At 46.5% G+C, this 22,035-nt stretch overlaps 2 long non-coding RNA genes across 7 annotated transcripts in view, besides 6 other annotated features; both read left to right on the forward strand.

Moving 5' to 3' along the window:
• The window catches only part of LOC105373418 (uncharacterized), a 74,555-nt gene that overhangs the window by 12,212 nt on the left and 40,308 nt on the right, over positions 1-22,035 (forward strand). The window lies entirely within an intron of this gene.
• Positions 3,920-4,029: an enhancer, noted in NCBI's record as "active region_15285". NCBI's record gives its function as "activates an Ori minimal core promoter by ATAC-STARR-seq in GM12878 lymphoblastoid cells {active_cell/tissue: GM12878}" and the evidence as "EXISTENCE:reporter gene assay evidence [ECO:0000049][PMID:35858748]".
• Positions 4,353-4,592: an enhancer, noted in NCBI's record as "active region_15286". NCBI's record gives its function as "activates an Ori minimal core promoter by ATAC-STARR-seq in GM12878 lymphoblastoid cells {active_cell/tissue: GM12878}" and the evidence as "EXISTENCE:reporter gene assay evidence [ECO:0000049][PMID:35858748]".
• Positions 5,223-5,322: an enhancer, noted in NCBI's record as "active region_15287". NCBI's record gives its function as "activates an Ori minimal core promoter by ATAC-STARR-seq in GM12878 lymphoblastoid cells {active_cell/tissue: GM12878}" and the evidence as "EXISTENCE:reporter gene assay evidence [ECO:0000049][PMID:35858748]".
• Positions 5,374-5,875: an enhancer, noted in NCBI's record as "H3K27ac hESC enhancer chr2:9796459-9796960 (GRCh37/hg19 assembly coordinates)". NCBI's record gives its function as "activates a minimal SCP1, AML or CMV promoter by ChIP-STARR-seq in naive H9 embryonic stem cells {active_cell/tissue: H9 hESC(naive)}" and the evidence as "EXISTENCE:reporter gene assay evidence [ECO:0000049][PMID:30033119]".
• Positions 5,833-6,002: an enhancer, noted in NCBI's record as "active region_15288". NCBI's record gives its function as "activates an Ori minimal core promoter by ATAC-STARR-seq in GM12878 lymphoblastoid cells {active_cell/tissue: GM12878}" and the evidence as "EXISTENCE:reporter gene assay evidence [ECO:0000049][PMID:35858748]".
• Positions 6,731-7,291: an enhancer, noted in NCBI's record as "NANOG hESC enhancer chr2:9797816-9798376 (GRCh37/hg19 assembly coordinates)". NCBI's record gives its function as "activates a minimal SCP1, AML or CMV promoter by ChIP-STARR-seq in naive H9 embryonic stem cells {active_cell/tissue: H9 hESC(naive)}" and the evidence as "EXISTENCE:reporter gene assay evidence [ECO:0000049][PMID:30033119]".
• Positions 9,521-10,327, forward strand: LOC105373419 (uncharacterized). The gene is made up of 2 exons (XR_922779.2): positions 9,521-9,881; positions 10,050-10,327. It is a non-coding gene; the product is annotated as an uncharacterized LOC105373419 (long non-coding RNA).

The raw sequence follows: 22,035 nt of genomic DNA on the forward strand, positions 1-22,035 counted from the left end.
GCTACACGAAAAAAGTCAGTGGGCAAAGGGCTAATATCCAGAATCTACAAATAAACAAATGTACAAGAAAAAAATCAAACAACCCCATCAAAAAGTGGGCAAAGGATATGGGCAGACACTTCTCAAAAGAAGACATTTATGCAGCCAACAGACACATGAAAAAATGCTCATCATCACTGGCCATCAGAGAGGTGCAAGTCAAAACCACAATGAGATACCATCTCACACCAGTTAGAATGGCAAACATTAAAAAGTCAGGAAACAACAGGTGCTGGAGAGGATGTGGAGAAATAGGAACACTTTTACACTGTTGGTGGGACTGTAAACTAGTTCAACCATTGTGGAAGACAGTGTGGCGATTCCTCAAGGATCTAGAACTAGAAATACCATTTGACCCAGCCATCCCATTACTGGGTACATACCCAGAGGATTATAAATCATGCTGCTATAAAGACACATACACTTGTATGTTTATTGCGGCACTATTCACAATAGCGAAGACTTGGAACCAAACCAAATGTCCATCAATGATAGACTGGATTAAGAAAATGTGTCTCATATACACCATGGAACACTATGCAGCCATAAAAAGGGGTGAGTTCATGTTCTTTGTAGGGACATGGATGAAGCTGGAAATCATCATCTTGACCAAACTGTCGCAAGGACAGAAAACCAAACACCGCATGTTCTCACTCATAGGTGGGAATTGAACAATAAGAACATTTGGACACAGTGGGGAACATCACACACCAGGGCCTGTTGTGGGGTCGGGGGAGCGGGGAGGGATAGCATTAGGAGATATACCTAATGTAAATGATGACTTAATGGGTGCAGCACACCAACATGGCACGTGTATATATATGTAACAAACCTGCACATTGTGCACATGTACCCTAGAACTTAAAGTATAATCAAAAAAAAAAAAAAGAAAAGAAAAAAGTCAGTAGGAAAAGGCCACACATTGTATGTGTGACCTGCCTACTTCCCTCTCCCTGATGCTTCCTCTCTGGTCAGTTCCTCTCTTTGGGTTCTGGTCATTATTTTTTTCCCTTTGTCCCTCAGGACTAGGGGTGGTAACTGCTCCTTCTGTTTCTTACCCCAGGGAACTGCATCCATTACTGATTGCCATAAACATTTTCCTCCGCTTCGTGAATAGTTCTTGATTAAACTTTCCTCCTGTTTCCCAACTTGTGCATCTGTATCTTGATGCAGTGACTTACTCTCCATCCATCCATCCATCCATCCATTCATCCATCCTTCCATCATCCATCCACCCATCCACCCATCCACCCATCCACCTATTCATCCATCCACTCATCCATCTAACCATCCATCCATCCATCCATCCATCCATCCATCCATCCATTCATCCATCCATCCATCCACCTATCCACCTATTCATCCATCCACTCATCCATCTATCCATCCATTCATCCATCCATCCACCCATCCACCTATTCATCCATCTACTCATCCATCTATCCATCCATCTATCCAACCTCACACCATGCATACCCCCATCCATCCATCCACCCAATCACCCATCCACCTATTCATCCATTCACTCATCGACCTATCTATCCATCCATCCATCCATCCTTCCACCCTCCAACTAGTGCCCCATCCATCCATGCACCCATCCATTCACTCTTTCATTCAGGAGCACAGTGCAGAGTTCATTCTGGATGCTCAGTATATTCAGCAAACACTGAGTCCGTACTGCTCAGCAGGTGGCCAGTGCTAGGCCCTATGCCAGGAATATAGGTAATTAAACACAGCCTCTGTTCTCCAGAAGTTGGTGATACAGTCTAGGGATAAAAATGAAATATACATATCTCGTGTCCTGTCTAGTGAGCCAAAAAAAAAAGAAGGAAAAGAAAAGAAAAGAAAAAGCCTTAGCAATTACTTAGCAAGGTTAGCAATTACTTAGCAAGATTTGGAGACTTAGAGGGTACATTATGGGTTCTATTATTTTTAAGTTTTGAAGCAGTTTGGGAGCGTATGATGCTTCACCCTCCACAGGCTCCAAAAACCACCAAGAACTGAGCCTGCTATGAGCTGTCACTAGGTAGGGACCTAGCCTACTATTCTTGTATATCTGGGGCCCAGCACATAGTAGGTGCTCTGGGAAGTCAGCAGAATTTAATGAACTCTGACTTGAAGACAAGGCTCTACAAAAACAGAGATGTAGGGAACAGTCTGTATTCAAAATGTTATAGTAACAAGCAGTCAGCCAGACTGCATGGTGGAAAGACTGCTCCGCCTCTCTCTCTTCTCCATCTCTATGGTGACTGTTAACGGAACTGGTCAAGGTCGAACATGGTCAACCAAGCAGCAATATCCCAGGGACTCCGGCAGCTGCAGCTTAGGTTTATACCACTGCTTGGAGGTCTTCTGTATTTCAGATTATGAATATTTGTGCATTATATGAGAGTCTTTTTTGTTATTGCACAAATATGATAAAGTCATTAAATACATTTTTAAGAAAGAAAAATAAACCATCCCTTTGCCATTGGACTGATTGAATGTTTGCATTTCCCTTCCAGCCTTTGTCTATTTCCATATGCATTTCATCCTCCTCCGTGGTAACACAGTGAACCTATAATTTTGTATTCTGCTTATGATGCCTTTTTAAAAAAGCATTGTTCTTTCATGGAGATTCCGTGCTTGGGGCCAATCTTTGTTGGCCCATCAGTTTTCCTCTTAGGAGCACGTGGTGGAAAAGACAATGGGAGATGCTTTCATTGCTTCTATTGGGTGTCTGTGAACTGCTTTGTTTCTACAGACTAAGGAGTTAGCGTAAGAACAGAACAGAACAGACTTTTCATACAGATTATTCGTATTGTTATCTCAATGGGGTGTTTTATTTGTATGGGAGGAAACCTCCCATATAAATCAAGTGGACACAGCATGGATGTTAGCCTGAACAACCAGGAGTTTTATTCTGAGATAGTCACTAGCTGTGTGACCTTGGGCCGCTAACCTAAATCTCTGGTCGTCAGTTTCTATCTCTGAAAGTAAGAACAACATCTATGTACTAGGACTGGGGAGAGGAGAGAATGATGTGAGATAGAGATTGCGTTGTGTGTGTGTGACTCTATAGAACTATAGTTCTCTGAATGATACTGAGATTAACCTTGGGCAAGCCTCTCTGATCCTTTGCTTATATATACGTGAAATGAGAAGATAAAGGTCCCAGTGAGACTGAATGAGATCATGAGTACGAAAGTGTCCTGTTAGTGAAAATGCACCTGGTCATCATTCCACTACATCTTCCTGTCTGTTTTCTCTTGGCCCTAGAAAGTGCTGTGGAAGCTTGGGGGTGAGTTCTGAAGTGTGTACACAACTGGAACCAGAGCAGCCACTGACTGCCTTGGGCCAGCAGCTTCTGGAGCCCAAACTTGGACCTCTGCATCCCTCCTGGGGCCCCAGCTCTAAGTACTGGGGTACGGTGCTGAATGGGGCGGGGAGGCTGTCAGCTTTCCTAGCTGCCTCTGTGTGCTGTGCTCTCTCCAGGGCCCAGTTCTCCAGGAGAAGGAGCAGGAGCAGGTATGCTGAGGACTCCATGAGAGCCAGCCTTTTGAATAGCAGCAAGTTTGTGGGGGCATCTGGGGACAGGGTCTGGGACAGCCCAGTCCAGCCCAGCCCAGGCAGGGGAGACGGCAACAGCAGCAACTCTGCTAGAAGTGACATGCAGATGTTGGCTGAAAGCCATCTACCCTCCCTCCTTCCTTTTCTTTCATCTTCCCTTTCTTTCCCACTCTCCCTCCTGTCTTCTCTACTCCACTTCTCTCCTTTCTTCCACAGTGCTATGGCTGCCTACGTGATGCCAAGCACCATGCAGTATTAGCAGCCACAGGCTGCTTACCCGGAAAACTGGACTTTTGTGCTCACAGGCTTTAAGAGAGATGGGGACAGCCTGGACTGCATGCAGAGGGAGCCACTAGGGCTGCTGGGGAGGTTCGAGACACGTCACAGGGGTTACCTGAAGGACTGAGGCTATAGCTTGGAGGAGACTCTGAAAACTGTTATCAGATATTCGAAGAACTGTCCATTGAAAGAAGAACAAAAAAAATTTTTTCCCAGCCAGGCATGGTGGCTCACAACTGTAATCCCAGAACTTTGGGAGGCTGAGGTGGGCAGATCAACTTGAGGCCAGGAGTTCGAGACCAGGCTGGCCAACATGGCGAAACCCCATCTCTACTGAAAATACAACAAATCAGCTGGGTGGGGTGGGGTGTGCCTGTAGTCCCAGCTTGGGAGGCTGAGGCCCGAGAATTGCTTGAGCCAGAGAGGCGGAGGTTGCAGTGAGCTGACAGCATGCCACTGCACTCCAGCCTGGGTGACAGAGCCAGACCCTGTCTCAAAAAAAAATTTTTTTTTCTTTTTTTCTGTGAAACCCAAAAGGAACAATTAGGTAGAGAGTTTCAGCTCTGTATCTGAGTGTCCTTTCATAATCTGAATTGTCCCAGGGTGGAAGAGGCTTCCCTGGAAGGTGAGTTCCTTGTCACCAAAGACCCTCAAGGACAGCAGGGACCACTCGGTGGCCAGAATGCTGGAGAGGGGAATTCAAACTTTTGCTGCAGTGGGAGTGCGTCAGACTCGATGACTGTCAGACTCTGGTCTTCCTTCGATCTTTGAGCTGAGAGTGGAAGAAGATGAAGTGTGACTTAGCTATTCAACCACGCCACAACCCCAAGCATCTTTAGTTTTTGTTCTGATTTTTATCTTCAGTAGCTGACTGACTGGGCATGAGTAATTCCAACTCCCCAGGCCGGGTGCACTTCACAGGCATGTTTCAGAATAAAATAGAACCTATGGCTCCAGCCCACCTTGACTGTGGTCACCAAAGATGCTTACCCTGACCCTGGGGTAAGAAATGAGCCCTTGGAGGGTCCTGGGTGTGCCCAGCCCCCACTGATGTGACTGGCAGCCCCCACCACAGTCTGCAGCCCCAGGCAGGGAAGCCTCCCCCTCCAAAGTTCTAGAGGGTTTTTAAAAATGTTTAAAGACATTTACAGCAAAACAAAATCAATTATCAAGTTTTGAGTCACCTCTCTTGCAAATAGAAACTTTTCTGTAAGAACTGCTTCTACTAGGCTGGGTGTGGTGGCTCATGCCTGTAATCCCAGCACTTTAGGAGGCTGAGGTGGGCAGATCATGAAGTCAGGAGTTCGAGACCAGCCTGGCCAACATAGTGAAATACTGTCTCTGCTAAAAATATAAAAAATTAGCTGGTCGTGGTGGCGTGCGCTTATAGTCCCATCTACTCAGGAGGCTGAGGCAGGAGAATCGCTTGAACCCGGAGGCGGAGGTTGCAGTGGGCCGAGATTGCACCATTGCACTCCAGCCTGGGTGACAGTGTGAGACTCTGTCTCCAAAAAAAAACAAAAAAAACAAAACAAAGAACAAGAAACAAAACAAAAGAACCGCTTCTACTGGGAAAGAAAACCAGAGAGAAAACCATTTATAGATTATCTCAGATTTACAAGTGAGAACCACAGGCCTGACCCCAGTTCACCTATGCCAGGGCTGAGTCTACACAGTCAACAGCCTCAGGATGCAGGGATGAGTCAGTGTGAAACAAAGACTCAACCCCCATCTAACGGAGCCCTTTCCCTGCTGTGCTCAGCCTGCACGGAATCTGCTTCTAGACAACCCAGACAGCCAGAAGCCAATGCATCTGACTGAGAGGAGTGGATAATGACTTCCCTTTTTAAAAACTTTCTTATTGGCTGCGCACGGTGGCTCACGCCTGTAATCCCAGCACTTCAGGAGGTCGAGATCGGCGGATAGACTTGAGGTCGGGAGTTTGAGACCATCCTGGCCAACATGGCGAAACCCCATCTCTGCTAAAAATACAAAAATTAGCTGCGTGTGGTGGTGCACGCCTGTAGTCCCAGCTACTTGGGGTGCTGAGGCACGAAAATCACTTGAGCCTGGGAGGCAGAGGTTGCAGTGAGCCTAGAAGACAGAGCAAGACTCCATCTCAAAACAAAAACCAAATAAACAAAACACCTTTCTTATTGAGGGGTAGCACATCTGCCACCAAGCATGCTTCTGATGGTCCCTCTAGAAGTCTCTTCCCCGGTATCTGGATTTGAGTGGGGTGACAAAAAGGCTGAACATGACTGGAGCCTATGCTATGGCTTCTGTCCCCTAAGTCCCCAGAGCTCCTCTGGTGTCTGTCCTCTCTGAAGCTTGGTTCTTCAGCTTTTCCATTAGGACTGTGAGTTCTCTCACATCCGGAGGTCGCTTCTGTTGTTTACAATCAAAGAACCTTGACAAAGAGAAAGTGCCTACTTGGTCTCCGTAGCTCCAGGGCCAGTGTGTGGCCTGACACACAGTCAAGTTCAAAAATGTTTAACTAAGTTGAACTGTGATGACTCCCCCCCTTTCAGTCTGGGGATCAGAGACAGAGTTGCCTGGGTGTCCTTGATGGAAGAAGCTCTTCCTGATCACTTTGGCTCGAACGGCACTTGCAGGAGAACCTGCTCAGTGCCCTTGGCCCCAGGCCGGGGGTACCACATGACTCTGTGCAAAGCTTTGCAGAAACTAATGGGACCCTAACCCCATCTTGAGAGCTTGCTTCCTCCTTCCTGTTAGGCATGAGCCCGATGCCAAGGCCCTGTGGAATTCTGACCTAACTTTCCCACTTCCAGCCTTCCCAAAACAAAGTTTCTACTTCTCTCCTGCCTCTCTGTTCAACCCCTAACCACCCAATTCTGCTTCTTCTAGGAGTTCTCAAAACACTAATAACAGTATTTAAGTGTATTAGCTGACTGAACGTACAGGAATGTTAAGAATCAGAAATCAAATTGGATTTTATAAAAATGAGGGTTTAGAAGGAAGGTTTTAATACAGGCGATTAAGCTGTAGGCTCCAGAATGGGGGAAGGTGTGAAGCCCCACACCTTTTCTCTCTTCTCCAGTGCAGACTCCATCCAGCACTCACTGTCAATGTTACTGCCATGGAAGTTGGTTAATCACTGCTGCGAGGTGGCCTCCAGGGGTGGTGTGGTATTGTTTCTTAACTGCACGCAAGGCTTGAGGACTTAACTCCTCTTTGTCCCTCCACCTTCTGCTCACAGAGGGTAGAGATTGTCTCACTCATCTTTGAACACGCAAAAAAGCTACTCAGTAAACGAGCAGTGGATAGATGATGCCTCCTGGAGCCTATTATTGCTTTCCTTTTTTTTCCCAAATGTAACCTTGTTTATAGACATTTCTCATAAAAGTAGAGAAAATTGCATACTACCATATTATACCTACCACCCAGCTTCAACAATGATCATCATTTTGCTATTTTTAGTTCATCTACACTCGCACCAACATTTTTTTTTTTGCTAGAGTCTTTTAAAGCAAATCTCAGTCATCATGTAATTTCATCCATCAAGATTTCAGTATAGATTTCTAATAGGAAAGGACTTCAAAAAAACAAACTCAACTACATGCCATTCTCAGACCTAACAGAATATATTTCTTTTTCTTTTTTGAGGGGGGTGGGTGGGGGGAAATGGCGTCTTGCTCTGTCGCCTAGGCTGGAGCATCACAGCTCGCTGCAACCTCGACCTCCTGGGCTTAAGCAATCCTCCCACCTCAGTCTTCTGAGTAGCTGGGACCACAGGCACATGCCACCACGCCCAGCTAATTTTTAAATTTTTTGTAGAGACAGGGTCTCCCTACGTTGTCCAAGCTGTTCTCAAACTCCTGGGCTCCAGTGATCTTCCCATCTTGGCCTCTCAAAGTGCTGAGATTACAGGCATGAGCCACTGCGCCCAGCCAATAAGTTTCTTAATATTATCCCACATGTAGGCCACATTCCGTTTTCCTCAGTTGTCTCAAAACAGTCTTTTTACTGTTGGTTTGTTCAAATTAGGATCCTTAAAAGAGTAAGTGTGGTGTTGGATGGGTATGTTTCTTATGTCTGTTCCCCTTCTTTTTTTTGTTTTTGTTTTTTTAAATGCCATTTAATTGTGGAAGAAACCAGGCCATGAGTCCTGCAGACATTTTCCACAGTTGTTTGGATTTGGCTGATGGCATCCCCACGGTGACATTGAGCACACTCCTCCATCCCGGGGTAGCAGAGGTTTGCATGCCACACTGCCTGGGCATGCCTGGTTTCAGCATTGCTTACATTCTGGAAATTGTGGCCCCACGTTAAGCACTGCAGCTGTTATTCTGCTTCACTGACTCATGGTTTTCTCCTGAACATCGTGTGTGTTCGTCGGGAGAGGGAGGTAATGGGGGAAGGACTAACGCTCCCAGGACAACCATTAACCAATGAAATGGCTGGGCACAGCGGCTCATGCCTGTAATCCCAGACTTTAGGAGGCCGAGGTGGGAGGATCACTTGAACTCAAGAGTTCCAGACCAGCCTGGGCAACATAATAAGACCTTGCCTTTACAAAAAAAATTAAAAATTAGCTGGGCATGGTGGCATGTGCCGGTAGTCCCAGCTACTCAGGAGGCTGAGGCAGGAGGATCCTTTGAGCCCAGGAAGTTGAGGCTGCAATGAGCGGTGATTGCACCACTGCATTCCAGCCTGGGCCACAGAGTGAGACTCTGTCTCAAAACAAAACAAAGAACAAAAAAAAACAAAAAGAAAAATCCAATGGGGCTGAGCATGGTGGCTCACACCTGTAATCCCAGCACTTTGAGAGGCCAAGGTGGGTAGATCACTTGAGGCCAGGAGTTTGAGACCAGCCTGGCCAACATGGTGAAACCCTGTCTCTACTAAAAATACAAAATTTAGCCAGGCGTGGTGGCACATCCTTGTAATCCCAGCTACTTGGGAGGCTGAGGCAGGAGAATCGTTTGAACCCAGGAGGTGGAGGTTGCAATGAGCAGAGATGGTGCCACTGCACTCCAGCCTGGGCAACAGAGCGAGACTCCATCTCAAAAACACACACACACACACACACAAACAAAAAACCCAGTGGTACCTACATTCTCCAACTTCCCCATCCTCTGGTCGGATAACTCTGAGGTACATTCTGCATGGTTCTTCAGAGGATCCCCAGCAAGACTGAGCCTCTATTACCCACAATAGTAACCATCCTTTGTGGGCCTTTATTATTATTATTATTTATTACCATACATTATACTTAATCTTCATCATTCATGTATTAAAACAGGGTGCCCACCCTTTGTCAGTAACACACACTCATTGTCTTTTCTTCTGGGTTTTCACCCTCCCACACTCCTTCCTGAGACCATCTCCCAAATAAATGACCTGCTCCCAAATCCCGGTCCCAGGCTCTTCTCTCGATGGAACCCAAGCTAAGACACCTTCCTGTGTCTAATAAATCATGGTTAGCTCCAGAGCTCAGCTGGATGCAGCTTCCTCGCTTTCTCGTTTTGGCACGTTGGCGTCTCCGGCACTGCTGTGTGCTTCCCACTGTGTTGCGTGGGCCCGGCGGAGCCCGCTATTCCGTCAGTGGCAGTGGATCTGTGGGAGGGGCCTCTACTCGTCTTCTGTGATTTCAGCCTTACAATGCTAGGGGTCTGCCTCACACAGTCAGGGGCCTACCTCTCACGTTTCTTTGTCACCTGTTCGGGGCTGCTCCCTGCATTTATGTCTGAACCTTTCCAAAGCTGGTTGAATTCCCGCCTGCAGGTAGCGCGAGGGTCGTTCAGCAGCAGGAGGCGGGGGTCTGGCTGCCCTCATACCAAACTCGTTCCCTCTACCTCACCAGGGTCTCAATGTGTGAGTCATTTCAACTGAGGGTGTTAGGTTTTCAAGTCCACAGGATGGAATACTTAGTGTCACAGAAATAGAAGCTCATCAAAGGTGTGCTTTGCCGGACTGGGTGGCTGCTCACCAATTCATGGGAGGCTTAGCACATCGTAATGGAAAAGCAGAGAGGGCGTGTAAGCCGGGTGAGTGTGTGTGAGTGTGAGTGTGTGAGTGTATGCATGTGAATGTGTCTCCAAGACTTCTTTCCCCCTCAACTGGCAGAAATCACTGCTTGTTCTATATGCCTACTCCTTCTAATTTCTCCATCTGAGAAGCCTCCCCCATTCTGTATTCCCTCTCCCTACCCCCAGTTAGTTTCCTGCCATCCTGCAATGCCTGAAATCGAGCCTGTTGAAGTGGGAGGTAGCCTGATAAGTGAAGATAGCTCGGAATTTCGAATTAGAAGACTCGATGATTTACTGTGTGACCCTGGATCATTCACTGAGCCACTCTGGGCCCTATTTTTCTTATCTTTTAGTTGAACATAATACATATAGGTAAGTTATAATGCTTCGACTTGACAAATCAAAAGACAGCATGCATAATGAAAAAAGAATATTGTATGTAGTAAAGCTTTGTATGAATGAGAGAGAGTACTTTTCTGCCTCAGTGGAAATAGATTTTCAGTTCTCTCTTGGACAGACTTTGATAGGAATAGAAAATGAGGATTGAACTAGTCTGTTTCTGTTGTCTCTGCAAACAACAGAAACAGAAACAGACTCAGGCTAGTTGACATAGAAAAGAGATTTATTGACAGTATATTGGGTAGCCCTTAGACTTGCCAGAGGGCTGCAGAGACAGGCGTGGGAAATAAACAGGAGCTGAGAACTGGGCAATGACCACAGCCTTGGCCAGGGCCACAACACGAACGGACACGGCTGTGACCAATTCGGAACACAGGGCAGTGGGGCTTGCTGTTCCGCTGCTGCAGCCCTCTGGAACCATCCGTGGCTCTGTGGTTGCCGTTCCTTTCAGGCCTGCCTGGAAGGGGCTGGGACTGTGGTGGGCCTCTAGGGTTTCCCCCCAGAGACAAGGCCTCACTCTGTTGCCCAGGCTGGAGTGCAGTGGCACAAACATGGCTTACTGCAGCCTTGACCTCCTGGCCTCAAGCGATCCTCCTGCCTTGGCCTCCCGAGTAGTTAGGACTACAGGTATGCACCACTGCACTTGGATACTTTTTTATTTTTATTTTTTATAGAGACAGGGTCTCACTATGTTGCCCAGACTGGTCTTGAACTCCTGAATTTAAGTGATCCTCCTGCCTCGGCCTCCCAAAGTGCTGGGATTGCCAAGTGTGAGCCAGTGTGCCTACCTGGGATTTCCACTTCTGTGTAGGAAATGGGCTGAGGGAGGAGAGACCTTATTAATAGGTGGAGGCAGCTGTGGGATGAGGCGGGAAACCTTGGAGGCTGACAAAGGCCAAGATGAATACTGATGCTGTCATGCTATTGATTATTGATCTTGGACATGATGTCCTGACAGGTCTGTTGAGGTTCCATTATGACAGAGCACCGTGGTGGCCACAGTGGTAGGTGGGACAGAGCCTCTGCTTTGAACTTAGAAAACACATGGTGTAAATCATGATATGACATATGAGGAAATAGATTGTAGCCATTATTCATCTTTTTTTTTTTTTTTTGAGACAGATTCTCGCTCTGTTGCCCAGGCTGGAGTGCAGTGGTGCGATCTCGGCTCACTGCAACCTCCACCACCCGGGTTCAAGTGATTCTCCTGTCTCAGCCTCCTGAGTGGCTGGGATTACAGGCGCGTGCCATCATGCCTGGCTATTTTTTGTATTTTTAGTAGAGATGGGGTTTCACCAGGTTGGCCAGGCTGGTCTCAAACTCCTGACCTCAAGTGATCTGCCCACCTTGGCCTCCCAAAGTGCTGGGATTACAGATGTGAGCCACCGTGCCCAGCCCCATTATTAATCATTTTTATGAAAATGTGGGAAAATGCTTTTGACATATCATTAATGAAAACAAAAGGGGAATACCATACTGTCTATACACTTGATTACAAGGTTGTAAAGCAAGTGTGGATGTGGAAGGTAATGTGCAAAACAGGAAAAGGCTGTTTTGAGTTAGAATATTGGGATTATGGGTGATTTTGATTTTTAAACTTTTTTTTTCCTTTAAGGTTGCTATCACGTACCCTTCACATTGAAAATAAATGCAGTAAGCTTTTCAATGTACATATAAGAAGGCAACATAACAACTGTTTTGATTGATGTTAACAATACTGAAAACTTCAGTAGTATCCCCTTACTATACGAAGAATTGGTTATCAGGTTCCAATGACGGAGGAGCAAATGCAAGACAGTCAGGAGAAGGTGCTGGCAGTGTGGTCACCCACCTCTCTTTCCTTTCAGAAAAGCTGGTTGCTGAGACTCCAGCAAGCAGCCTGTCTCTCATCAGTTCAATCCACTGCAATGTTTCTTTGCAACTAAAAATGACTCTCCTACCGCTGGCTCTCTCAGTTCTCAGAACATGAGTTTCTGACCACATTTGTGTGACTTGTCCTCAGTCTCAGAGGAGAAAGTAATAGAGACGGTCTTGCCTACTCCTCTGTCTACTGGACCCTTGATTCTAAGCTCTTCCTGTCTTGTATCCTATTAGCCAACAAACTCAGCTTCCACTAGGATATACACAAGAGCTGCACACTGCATGATGATACGGGTTGTGAAGTGTTGATCCATCCCCAGTTTATGGGCTTGTTTCTTTGAGAGCTGAGGCATGAGATGGGGAGAGATAGGGACGTTACCCCTCAAGATGGAGAGCTGCTTATTGCAGAGTGCTAATTAGTGCTGGACGTTTGCCACCTGTAACCCTGCTTCATCTCAGAGGGAGAGACAGATGTTCTTATTAACAGCGGCTTTAGCAGAAACGAGACATGCACAGGTTCACCACATTCTGTAAGATTATTGGGTTTTCTAGGTACAATTTGAGGGCATAGCCAAATGTTGGCCCAGTTTTCTGACCCCATAGCTTCCTGTCTCTTCTACCTAGTTCATACTTTGGTAGAGCAAAATGTAACTCACTGCCACTCTGATGTGCAGGGGAAAGTGAGTGCAATTTAAAAATTTTCCATCTTTAACATGGTCTGTTCTCCTGAGGTCCACCCACCCCCACCCACTGATTAGTGGAAAAAATTAATTCTATATTCCATCTTGTTTAAACATGGTTCCATCTGTTCACTGAATTGGCCTCTTTAGGAAACTGTCTTGCATTTGGATACAGATACTCAGTCTCTAAGACTGCCTGTCCTTCACCTCTTCTGGCTTCAAGATGGTGTCTGGTGGTATCAGAGAAGGGTTTACATTTGCTTACAGCAACAGCAAACACTTGTAGTCCTCGATGATGGTGTCCACTCCCACTCTGTTCCCTGGGTGATGAGTTTGACCCACCTGAATTCCTCTTGCCCCACTGACATCTGAGGCTGGAGTGCCTTGTGACCTGGTCTTCCCTTACGTGATTAGGGAAGCCCCTGAGTGTCTGCCCTGTCCTGCCCCTGCCCTCTTGCCCAGCTGCCCTCCCCAGCTTCTGCCATGAGACACCTCATCCTGCCATGGCAGGCAGACTGGATATGATCATGTGATCATCTGTCCTTGACGTCAACCTTGAACTTATTTAATGCTCCCTTTCCCTGTCCCAGTGCAAGCCTTGACAGGGATACGGGGGGTCCCACACCTGCCTGCTTTGTCTCCTCACTCTCTTTTTTCTCTCTCCTCCATCTACCAAGCCAGAAAAAATGTGGGCTTTTCATTTACTTCTCCTACATCATATCTTCCTTCATTCTGCTTCCAGCTAAGCTTTAATGATGAAGTGGGATCTCTCCTATGCACTGCAGGGGAACTCTGTGGGCTGAGTCCTCCAAGCCCACATGCTGACACGCCGAAGGAAGAAAGAAACTTGGGGGATCCTTTCTTTAGGTAACAGTCTGGCTTGCAAAATGTGTTTTTGCTGCTTAATGCTATTTTTGAATATAGCAACACAATATTACCTTTTTACCCTTCTCTTGGAGTTCCATTTATGACAAATTCTGATCCCCCTCCACAGACAGATAGATGCTAGGGTGAACTAGGGCAAGAGTTTTTGTATTTGTGGAAACTCTATTTATAATTCTATTCTGGGAATCTTTTACTTGGCATTTGATCTGCCTAAAACCAGACTCTTCTTCCACTGCCAGCTTAGTTTTCCTAAAATCATACTTTGATCGTGTCACTCCCGCCCAAAAGCCTTCCATGGCTCCCCGTTGCCATTGCATGAGCTCCTTTGGCTCTAACCTCCCCAGATTCTCCTTCATAGCTTTCTCCTTAGCAGGCCTGTCCCCTCTTTCTTCTTGCCTTCTTCCAAGTCTTTGCTCACCTAAATATACCACCTCCCTCTTCTTTCTGCCTATTCAAATTCCAGCATCCTCCAAAACCTGTACCAATCCCACCCGTTCCATGAAGTTCTTTGGATGAGCTGAGTAAAGGCTCTCCCTTCTGCTGTTCCACAGCACTTATTGGACACGTAGCCCAGCCTGCTTTGTTGAGTTGGCACAATGGAGGTCCTGCCTTGGAGGTGGCCCATTGGTGACTGGGAGACATGTCTGGAGACATGTCCAGAGACCAAGAGTCAAGCTAGTTAGGCAGTGCATGATAGATAAAATCCACTTCAAAGGCAAAATGTCTTCCAGAAAAGGAGCAGGAGGAGAAGGACTTACTGACTTAATTAACGAATCAGTACTCCTAATAGATTAAATAAGAAAATGTGGGCCAGGCGCAGTGGTTCACGCCTGTAATCCCAGCACTTTGGGAGGCCGAGGCAGGTGGATCACAAGGTCAGGAGTTCGAGACCAGCCTGGCCAATATGGTGAAATCTCATCTCTACTAAAAAATACAAATATTAGCTGGGCGTGGTGGCACATACCTGTAGTCCCAGCTACTTGGGAGGCTGAGGCAGGAGAATTGCTTGAACCTGGGAGGCGGAGGTTGCAGTGAGCCGAGATCACACCACTGCACTCCAGCCTGGGCGATAGAGTGAGACGTCATGTCAAAAAAAAAAGAAAGAAAGAAAGGAAAAAGAAAATGTGCCAGTGGAAGTGAAGGGTTAACCCGGACTGCAGAGCCATGTCCAGGCAGCATGTCCCTGGCCCTGACCAGGTGATATGACCCCATGGTCCCCAGGGTAACCTGTCCCTGCAGGGGGAAGTGAGTGGCTGTGGCAGTCGTTGTGGATGACACCAGCTCAGTCTCTGGCTCCTGCCTTTCACTGACATTTGTCTTCCATGTGGACACCCCTAGGGGTGTTGACTGGTTGATCTAAACATTCCAGTATGCGAGTCCTCTTTCGGCCTACAGCTCACACGTTAGTGACCAGCTAGTCCGGCAGTCTCAGGATCTCAGCTGTGTGAGTCAATGTCAAGGGCTTACCTTGGATCAGAGCCTGGGATGCAATGGCCACGTCAATATCCTGTCCCCAGGGGGCTCTGTGTGAACTAAGGTCATCTTCCCTGGGGGTATCTCTGCAGCATAGGGAAGCATCCCCTCTGTTTTCCTAACAGACTCTAGGTGGGACGGGGCGGGCGATACTTCCACTATTGGTTTGTACCTTCATAGCGAGTAGCCCCATCCCTTGCATTCAGTTATAGACATACAGTAAGTATTTGTTGAACTGGACCTGGAAACTGCTCCTCAAGAAAAAAGACGTTGGAGAAATTCTTAACAACAACAACTTATGGACCTTTGGTCCAGAGGTGAGACCTGCAAAGAAAAAGGGTGAAAATTGGAAAGAATGCAGATGTGTGTCCTCATGGGTATGTCCCAGGGAAAGTGGAAATTACCGAAGAAGCTGGGGGAACTCCAACAATATTCCCTGGGCACTGCGCCCAGAAGGGGCACAAAGATGAGTAGCATATGGTCTTGAGCTGGGGACTTTAATAGCTCACAGGCTACTTGAGACAAAGAAATATAGAAATACATTCTCCAGGCTGAGGACTGGTCTCCTCAGTGTATGGAAAGGCCATGTCATGTTGTCTACATATCTCAGGTGGGCTGATGACAAGTCCTCATAGATTAAGGACTGGCCCCCTCAGGGTGAGGACAGGTTCCTTCGGGCTGGGAGGTAGGGGACATATCTCTTCTCTCCTACTCGGTCTCCCAGCCTCTTGCACTCAGACAGGCTGTCTCCTCCAGCTGGGGCCTGGCTTTGCTTCCAGTGGACACTGATGGCCTTGTCTCTAGAGAAGGTTTCCTCTTTAAGACCATGCACTATTAAGCCAGGCGCAGTGGCTCGTGCCTGTAATCCTAGCACTTTGGGAGGCCAAGGCAGGTGGACCACCTGAGGTCAGGAGTTCGAGACCAGCCTAGCCAACATGGTGAAACCTCCGTCTCTACTAAAAATACAAAAATTAGCTGGGCATGGTGGGGCATGCTTGTAATCCCAGCTACGCTGGAGGCTGAGGCAGGAGAATTGCTGGAACCCGGGAGGTGGAGGTTGCAGTGAGCTGAGATGGTATCACTGCACTCCAGCGTGGACGACAGAGCGAGACATCGTCTCAAAACAAACAAACAAATAAAACGCTATTAGAAAAACACAATTCACAAAACCTAAAATATAGAGGGATTAAGCATTTGTACAACAAGGTATATTTAAATCTAAATAGACTATCTGCAGGGTTCCTGTCAGATTTTCAATTTATAAAAATGTTACTTACATACAACTTTTCAGGAACCATTTCATTGATAGAAACAGCTCACCTGATGAACCTCCAAATGTTCACTGTGGGGTCTGGGTGTGTGGAGGAGTCTCTCCCACAGGGGAGATTTGACCAAGGGTCTTCAGTTTCTTGCTGGGACCACATGGGCTGGTGCAGAGAGGATATCCCAGTTGATCGCGATAGGAAACGGCAGCACTACAAAACCCTAGTGAGGCAGAAAAGGAATGGGGACGGTTCCTAACCCTAACTGTCCCAAAGACGAGACAATTTGATAAGGGAACACAGGAAGAAATCATAGGTCAGGGAGGGTCTCCCACTTAATTCCAGAATGTATCTTCCCTGCTTAAAGCCAAAGAGGTCTATAAAAATATCTTCCAACCTCTGCAGATGTAACAGACATTCATAGAGGAAGATTTTCAGACTTGTTCCCATGGGTAGAGAGTGCCTGGAGAAAGACACCACCATTTCAGCTTCATGTGAACCCTGCAGGAACAAATGGACACAGGAACATCCAGAGTGACAGGACAGTGGGTTGAGTCTGTGCTGTTGACATGGGACTCTGCAGACAGAGAGAATGAGACCTCTCTGCGCTCACTGTTGTTGACACCAACAAATGGCTGTAATATCACAGAGCTTGTGAGGCTGAAAATAACTCAAGCACAAAGAGAATGATGAGAAAAGTTCATCTGGACCAGAACCAGGGAAGACTATGCCAGACATGCTCAGTTAGGGATTGAAGTAGCACCTAGCGGGTGAAATTGGCTTTGAACTCTAGACTCCCTCCGGAGTGTTTTTTGTTGTTGTTGTTGTTTGTTTGTTTTTGTTGTTGTTGTTTTTTAGACAGAGTCTTCCTCTGTCACCCAGGCTGGAGAATGCAGTGGAATGATCTCGGCTCACTGCAACCTCTGTCTCCCGGGTTCCAGTGATTCTCCTGCCTCAGCCTCCCGAGTAGCTGTGATTACAGGCACCCGCCACCGTGCCCGGCTAATTTTTGTATTTTTAATAAAGACGGGGTTTCGCCAAATTGGCCAAGCTTGTCTCGAACTCCTGACCTTAGGTGATCCGCCGTTCTTGGCCTCCCAAAGTGCTGGGTGGAGTGGTATTTTTATATCTGGAGTGATATTTTTATTTTACATGTATGTTTATATCCAGAAAGATCTTTTCATTTTCTATGTATGTTTCTGAGCCTGGGTGCCTCTGAACAGTTCATTCTGTAGCCTGGGTTCCATTTTCTGCAAGTGAACTCTGGGATCCAACTGCAGTTGTCCAAAATGCAAGAACCTCTGAAGGAGTGTTCAGGCAAAGACATGTCCTGGCTCTACTTTGCTTTCTAGAGAGGAGCCTGGAAGGGTGGACTCTGTTGGAAAAGGCCATGCCTTGTCCCTGCTCATGATTGCCCTGCATTCTCTTTTCTTGGGCTAGTGCCAGCCTGAGTAGGAGAATTGGGTTTGCTGCCTGGCAGACTCCTGGTTGGGGGCTGTTGGCGCAGAACTTGACACCTGGGTGGAGACACTGAAGTAGCACCCAGGCCCAGCTGCATCCAGTCATGGTGACTTAAGCTCCAGGGCTGGATAGCTACCTGGAGCCAGTTCTTGATTTTGAACATATAGATAGGAGACTGCAATCAGCAGATTTGCAATCTTCTGCCTGCTTGCTTTGACTCCCTAAGGTTTCATTTACTCTTGAATCTAAAAGATGTTTACTTAAAAAGTAAAGAGGTTCATGCAGCTGAGTAAATACTGGCAGAACATTTCACAAAATCTTCTGAAAGCCCAGACAGATCGTCAAGATGAAGGCTTCTGTGTAACAGAAACACCCGCCAGGCCCATTCATTCACTCTTGAGGAAAAAGTGAATGATATGTATTTTGAGCACCGACTTAGGCTTCTGAGGCCCCTCTGCCTCAACTGCCTGGACTTGTTGGCTTCTGCCGCCCCCATCTTTGTCTGGCCCCCGCCCAACCTCGCTCTGACCCCCAGCTGAGCTTCTACTCCTGGACTTCAGATTTCTGCCTCTTTCTGAGAATATGTCTCCAAGCCTTCTTGTCAGCATACTGAAATAGAAGTTTTCATTTCTCATTATGACAGATTTAAGGCACTGTGAGTCTTGAATTAGAATTACTGCCTTGATACTCTTTAATCCTTCATAATACCCTTCTGGGCAGCTGTAGCCCTGGGGTGGAGCCATTAGTTATTTTCTGGATGTGACACAAAGTAGCTGATGGATTTCTCACAGCCCCTGTCTTTTTTTTTTTTTTTTTGAGATGGAGTCTCGCTCTGTCACCCAGGCTGCAGTGCAGTGGGCATCTCGGCTCACTGCAAGCTCAGCCTCCCGTGTTCATGCCATTCTCCTGCCTCAGCCTCCCGAGTAGCTGGGACTATAGGCGCCCACCACCATGCCCGGCTAATTTTTTTTTTTTTTTTGTATTTTTAGTAGAGACAGGGTTTCACCGTGTTAGGAAGGATGGTCTTGATCTCCTGACCTCGTGATCCGCCTGCCTTGGCCTCCCAAAATACTGGCATTACAGGCGTGAGCCACTGTGCCTGGCCTGTCATTTTTTTTAAGCCACTTTAGTAGCCAGTGAATAGTAAGCATCACTATGATTTTTTTAAATTTATTTATTTCATTTTTTAGTTTTATTTTTTTTGAGAAAATAGAGTCTCGCTCTGTCTCCCAGGCTGGAGTGCAGTGGCGCAATCTCAGCTCACTGCAACCTCCAACCCCCAGGTTCAAGAGATTCTCCTGCCTCAGCCTCCAAGTAGCTGGGATTACAGGCTTACGCCACCATGCCCAGCTAATTTTTGTATTTTTAGTAGAGACAGGGTTTTACCATGTTGGCCAGGCTGGTCTTGAACTCCTGACCTCAAGTGATCTGCCTGCCTCGACCTCCCAAAATGCTGGGATTACAGGCATGAGCCAGCAGGCCCAGCCTTCACTATGAATTTTTGCTTTGTAACAGTTCAATTTAAGTGCAACTTTCCTAAAATGTATTGATTTTATAAAGTGACACCAACACATTGCATATCAACCCCCTAAATACACAAAAGGCCTTCCTTGTAAAGGGCAGATGAGAGAGGCTTGGGGTGGCCTACAAATTCCCTGGTGCGTAACCAGGTGGTTGCCACTCAGCAGCATTTGCAAAACAAACCCATTCTCTATGTTTCCCTTTCCTGGATTTTTTTGGGGGGGCCATATTTCTATTTGTGTGTCAGGCCACCTCAGTGCTCCCTGCACTATTTATCATTTTCTCAATACATTCTTTATCTTAAAGGAAAACTTCCTATCAATACTATATATGTTACCCATATTTAGTCTGATACATTTTAAAATAAATAGTAGAATAAAAACATTCATTTGTGTATCACCTAAAATCTTTTCACATACTCCTAATATTATGCATACCTCAGTTGGATAAAGATCTATGTGATCACTCCAATGATAGAAGTTTGTACAAGGTGTAGGCCGGGCGCAGTGGCTCACACCTGTAATCCCAGCACTTTGGGAGGCCGAGGCGGGTGGATCATTTGAGGCCAGGAGTTTGAGACCAGCCTGGCCAACATGGTGAAACCCCATCTCTACTAAAAATACAACAATTAGCTGGGTGTGGTGGCGCAAACCTGTAATCCCAGCTACTTGGGAGGCTGAGGCAGAAGAATTGCTTGAACCTGGGAGGCAGAGCTTGCAGTGAGCCAAGCGTGCCACTGCACTCCAGCCTGGGAGACAGAGCAAGACTGTCTCAAAAAGAAAAAAAAGTTTATACAATATGTAGATTTAGTAAACAGGAAGGCGAAAAATGATTATTACGCAGAGTCTATTCCTGGACTACCTTGTTTTAAGAATATTGTAGCCCCGGCCGGGTGTGATGGTTCACACCTGTAATTCCAGCACTTTGAGAGACTGAAGTGGGAGGATTGCTTGAGTCCAAGAGTTTGAGACAAGCCTGGGCAACATAACAAGATCCTGTCTTTAAAAAAAAAAAAATTAGCCAGGCGTGGTGGCAGGCACCTGTGGTCCCAGCTACTTGAGAAGCTGAGGTGGGAGGATCCCTTGAACCCGGGAGGTCAAGGCTGCAGTGAGCTGTGATTGCACTACGGCACTCCAGCTTGGGAGACGGAGCGAGACAGGTCTCAAAAAAAAAAAAAAAAAATTGTAACCCCACCCCATATCAATTCCATATTAAGTATACATATTGTTATAGAGAGAGACTTTTATTTTTTAGAGCAGTTTAGACTCACAGCAAAATTGAGCTGAAGGTACAGAGAGTTCCCATATACCTGTTCCTGCAAAGACCATCAACATTCTGCACCAAAGAGGTTGTTACAATTGATGAACCAATATTGACACCCTATTATCACTCACAGTCCATAGCTTACATTAGGGTATGTGTTTTGGCAGCTGTATAATGACAGTATCCACCATTATGACATCATACAGAATAGTTTCACTGTCCTAAAAATCCTCCTTGCTCCGTCTATTCATCCCTTTCTTCCCTCAAACCCCGGGCAACCACCGATCTTTTTACTGTCTGCATAGTTTTGCCTTTTCCAGAATGTCATATAGTTGGAATTGTACCGTAAGTAGCCTTTTCAGCTTGGATTCATTCACTTAGTAATATGCATTTAATTTTCCTCCATGCAGCTTGATAGCTCTTTTTTTTAAAGCACTGAATAATATTCCATTGTGTGGATATACCACAGTTTATCCATTCACCTATTAAAGGACATCTGGGATGTTTCCAAGTTTTGGCAACTATGAATAAATCTGCTCCAAACATTCTTTTATTATTATTTTTGAGACGGAGGGAGTCTCACTCTGTCGCCCAGGCTGGAGTGCAGTGGCATGATCTCAGGTCATTGCAACTTCCATCTCCTAGGTTCAAGTGACTCTCCTGCCTCAGCCTCCCGAGTAGCTGGGATTACAGGCATATGCCACCATGCCCAGCTAATTTTTTGTATTTTTAGTAGAGACGGGGTTTCACCATGTTGGCCAGGCTGGTCTCGAACTCCTGGCCTCAAACAATCCGCCCGCCTCGGCCTGCCAAAGTGCTGGGATTACATGCATGAGCCACGTGCCCAGCCTGCTCTAAACATTCTTGTGCAAGTTTTTGGGTGGACATAAGTTTTCAATTGTTTGGGTAACTACCAAGTAGCGTGATTGTATGTTTCGTTTTGTAAAAAAAACCCAAACTGTTTTCCAAAGTGGCTGTACCAGTTTGCACTCCCATGTTCCTGTTACTCTACATCCCCATCAGCATTTGGTGTTGCCAGTGTTTTGGATTTGGGCCGTGCTAATAGGCGTGTAGTGGTATCTCGTTGTTTTAATTTGTAATTCCCTAAGGATGTATGATGTCGAGCATCTTCTCATACACTTATTTTTCCACCTGTACATCTTTGGTGAGGGGTCTGTATGTTTTTTTTTTTTTTGAGATGGAGTCTTGCTCTGTTGTCCAGGCTGGAGTGCAATGGTGCCATCTCAACTCACTGCAACCTCTACCTCCTGGGTTCAAGCAATTCTCCTGCCTCAGCCTCCTGAGTAGCTGGGACTACAGACACCCACCACCACGCCTGGCCAATTTTTGTATTTTTAGTAGAGACAG

Source organism: Homo sapiens, chromosome 2, assembly GCF_000001405.40.
Source record: "Homo sapiens chromosome 2, GRCh38.p14 Primary Assembly".
Lineage (NCBI taxonomy): Eukaryota > Metazoa > Chordata > Mammalia > Primates > Hominidae > Homo > Homo sapiens.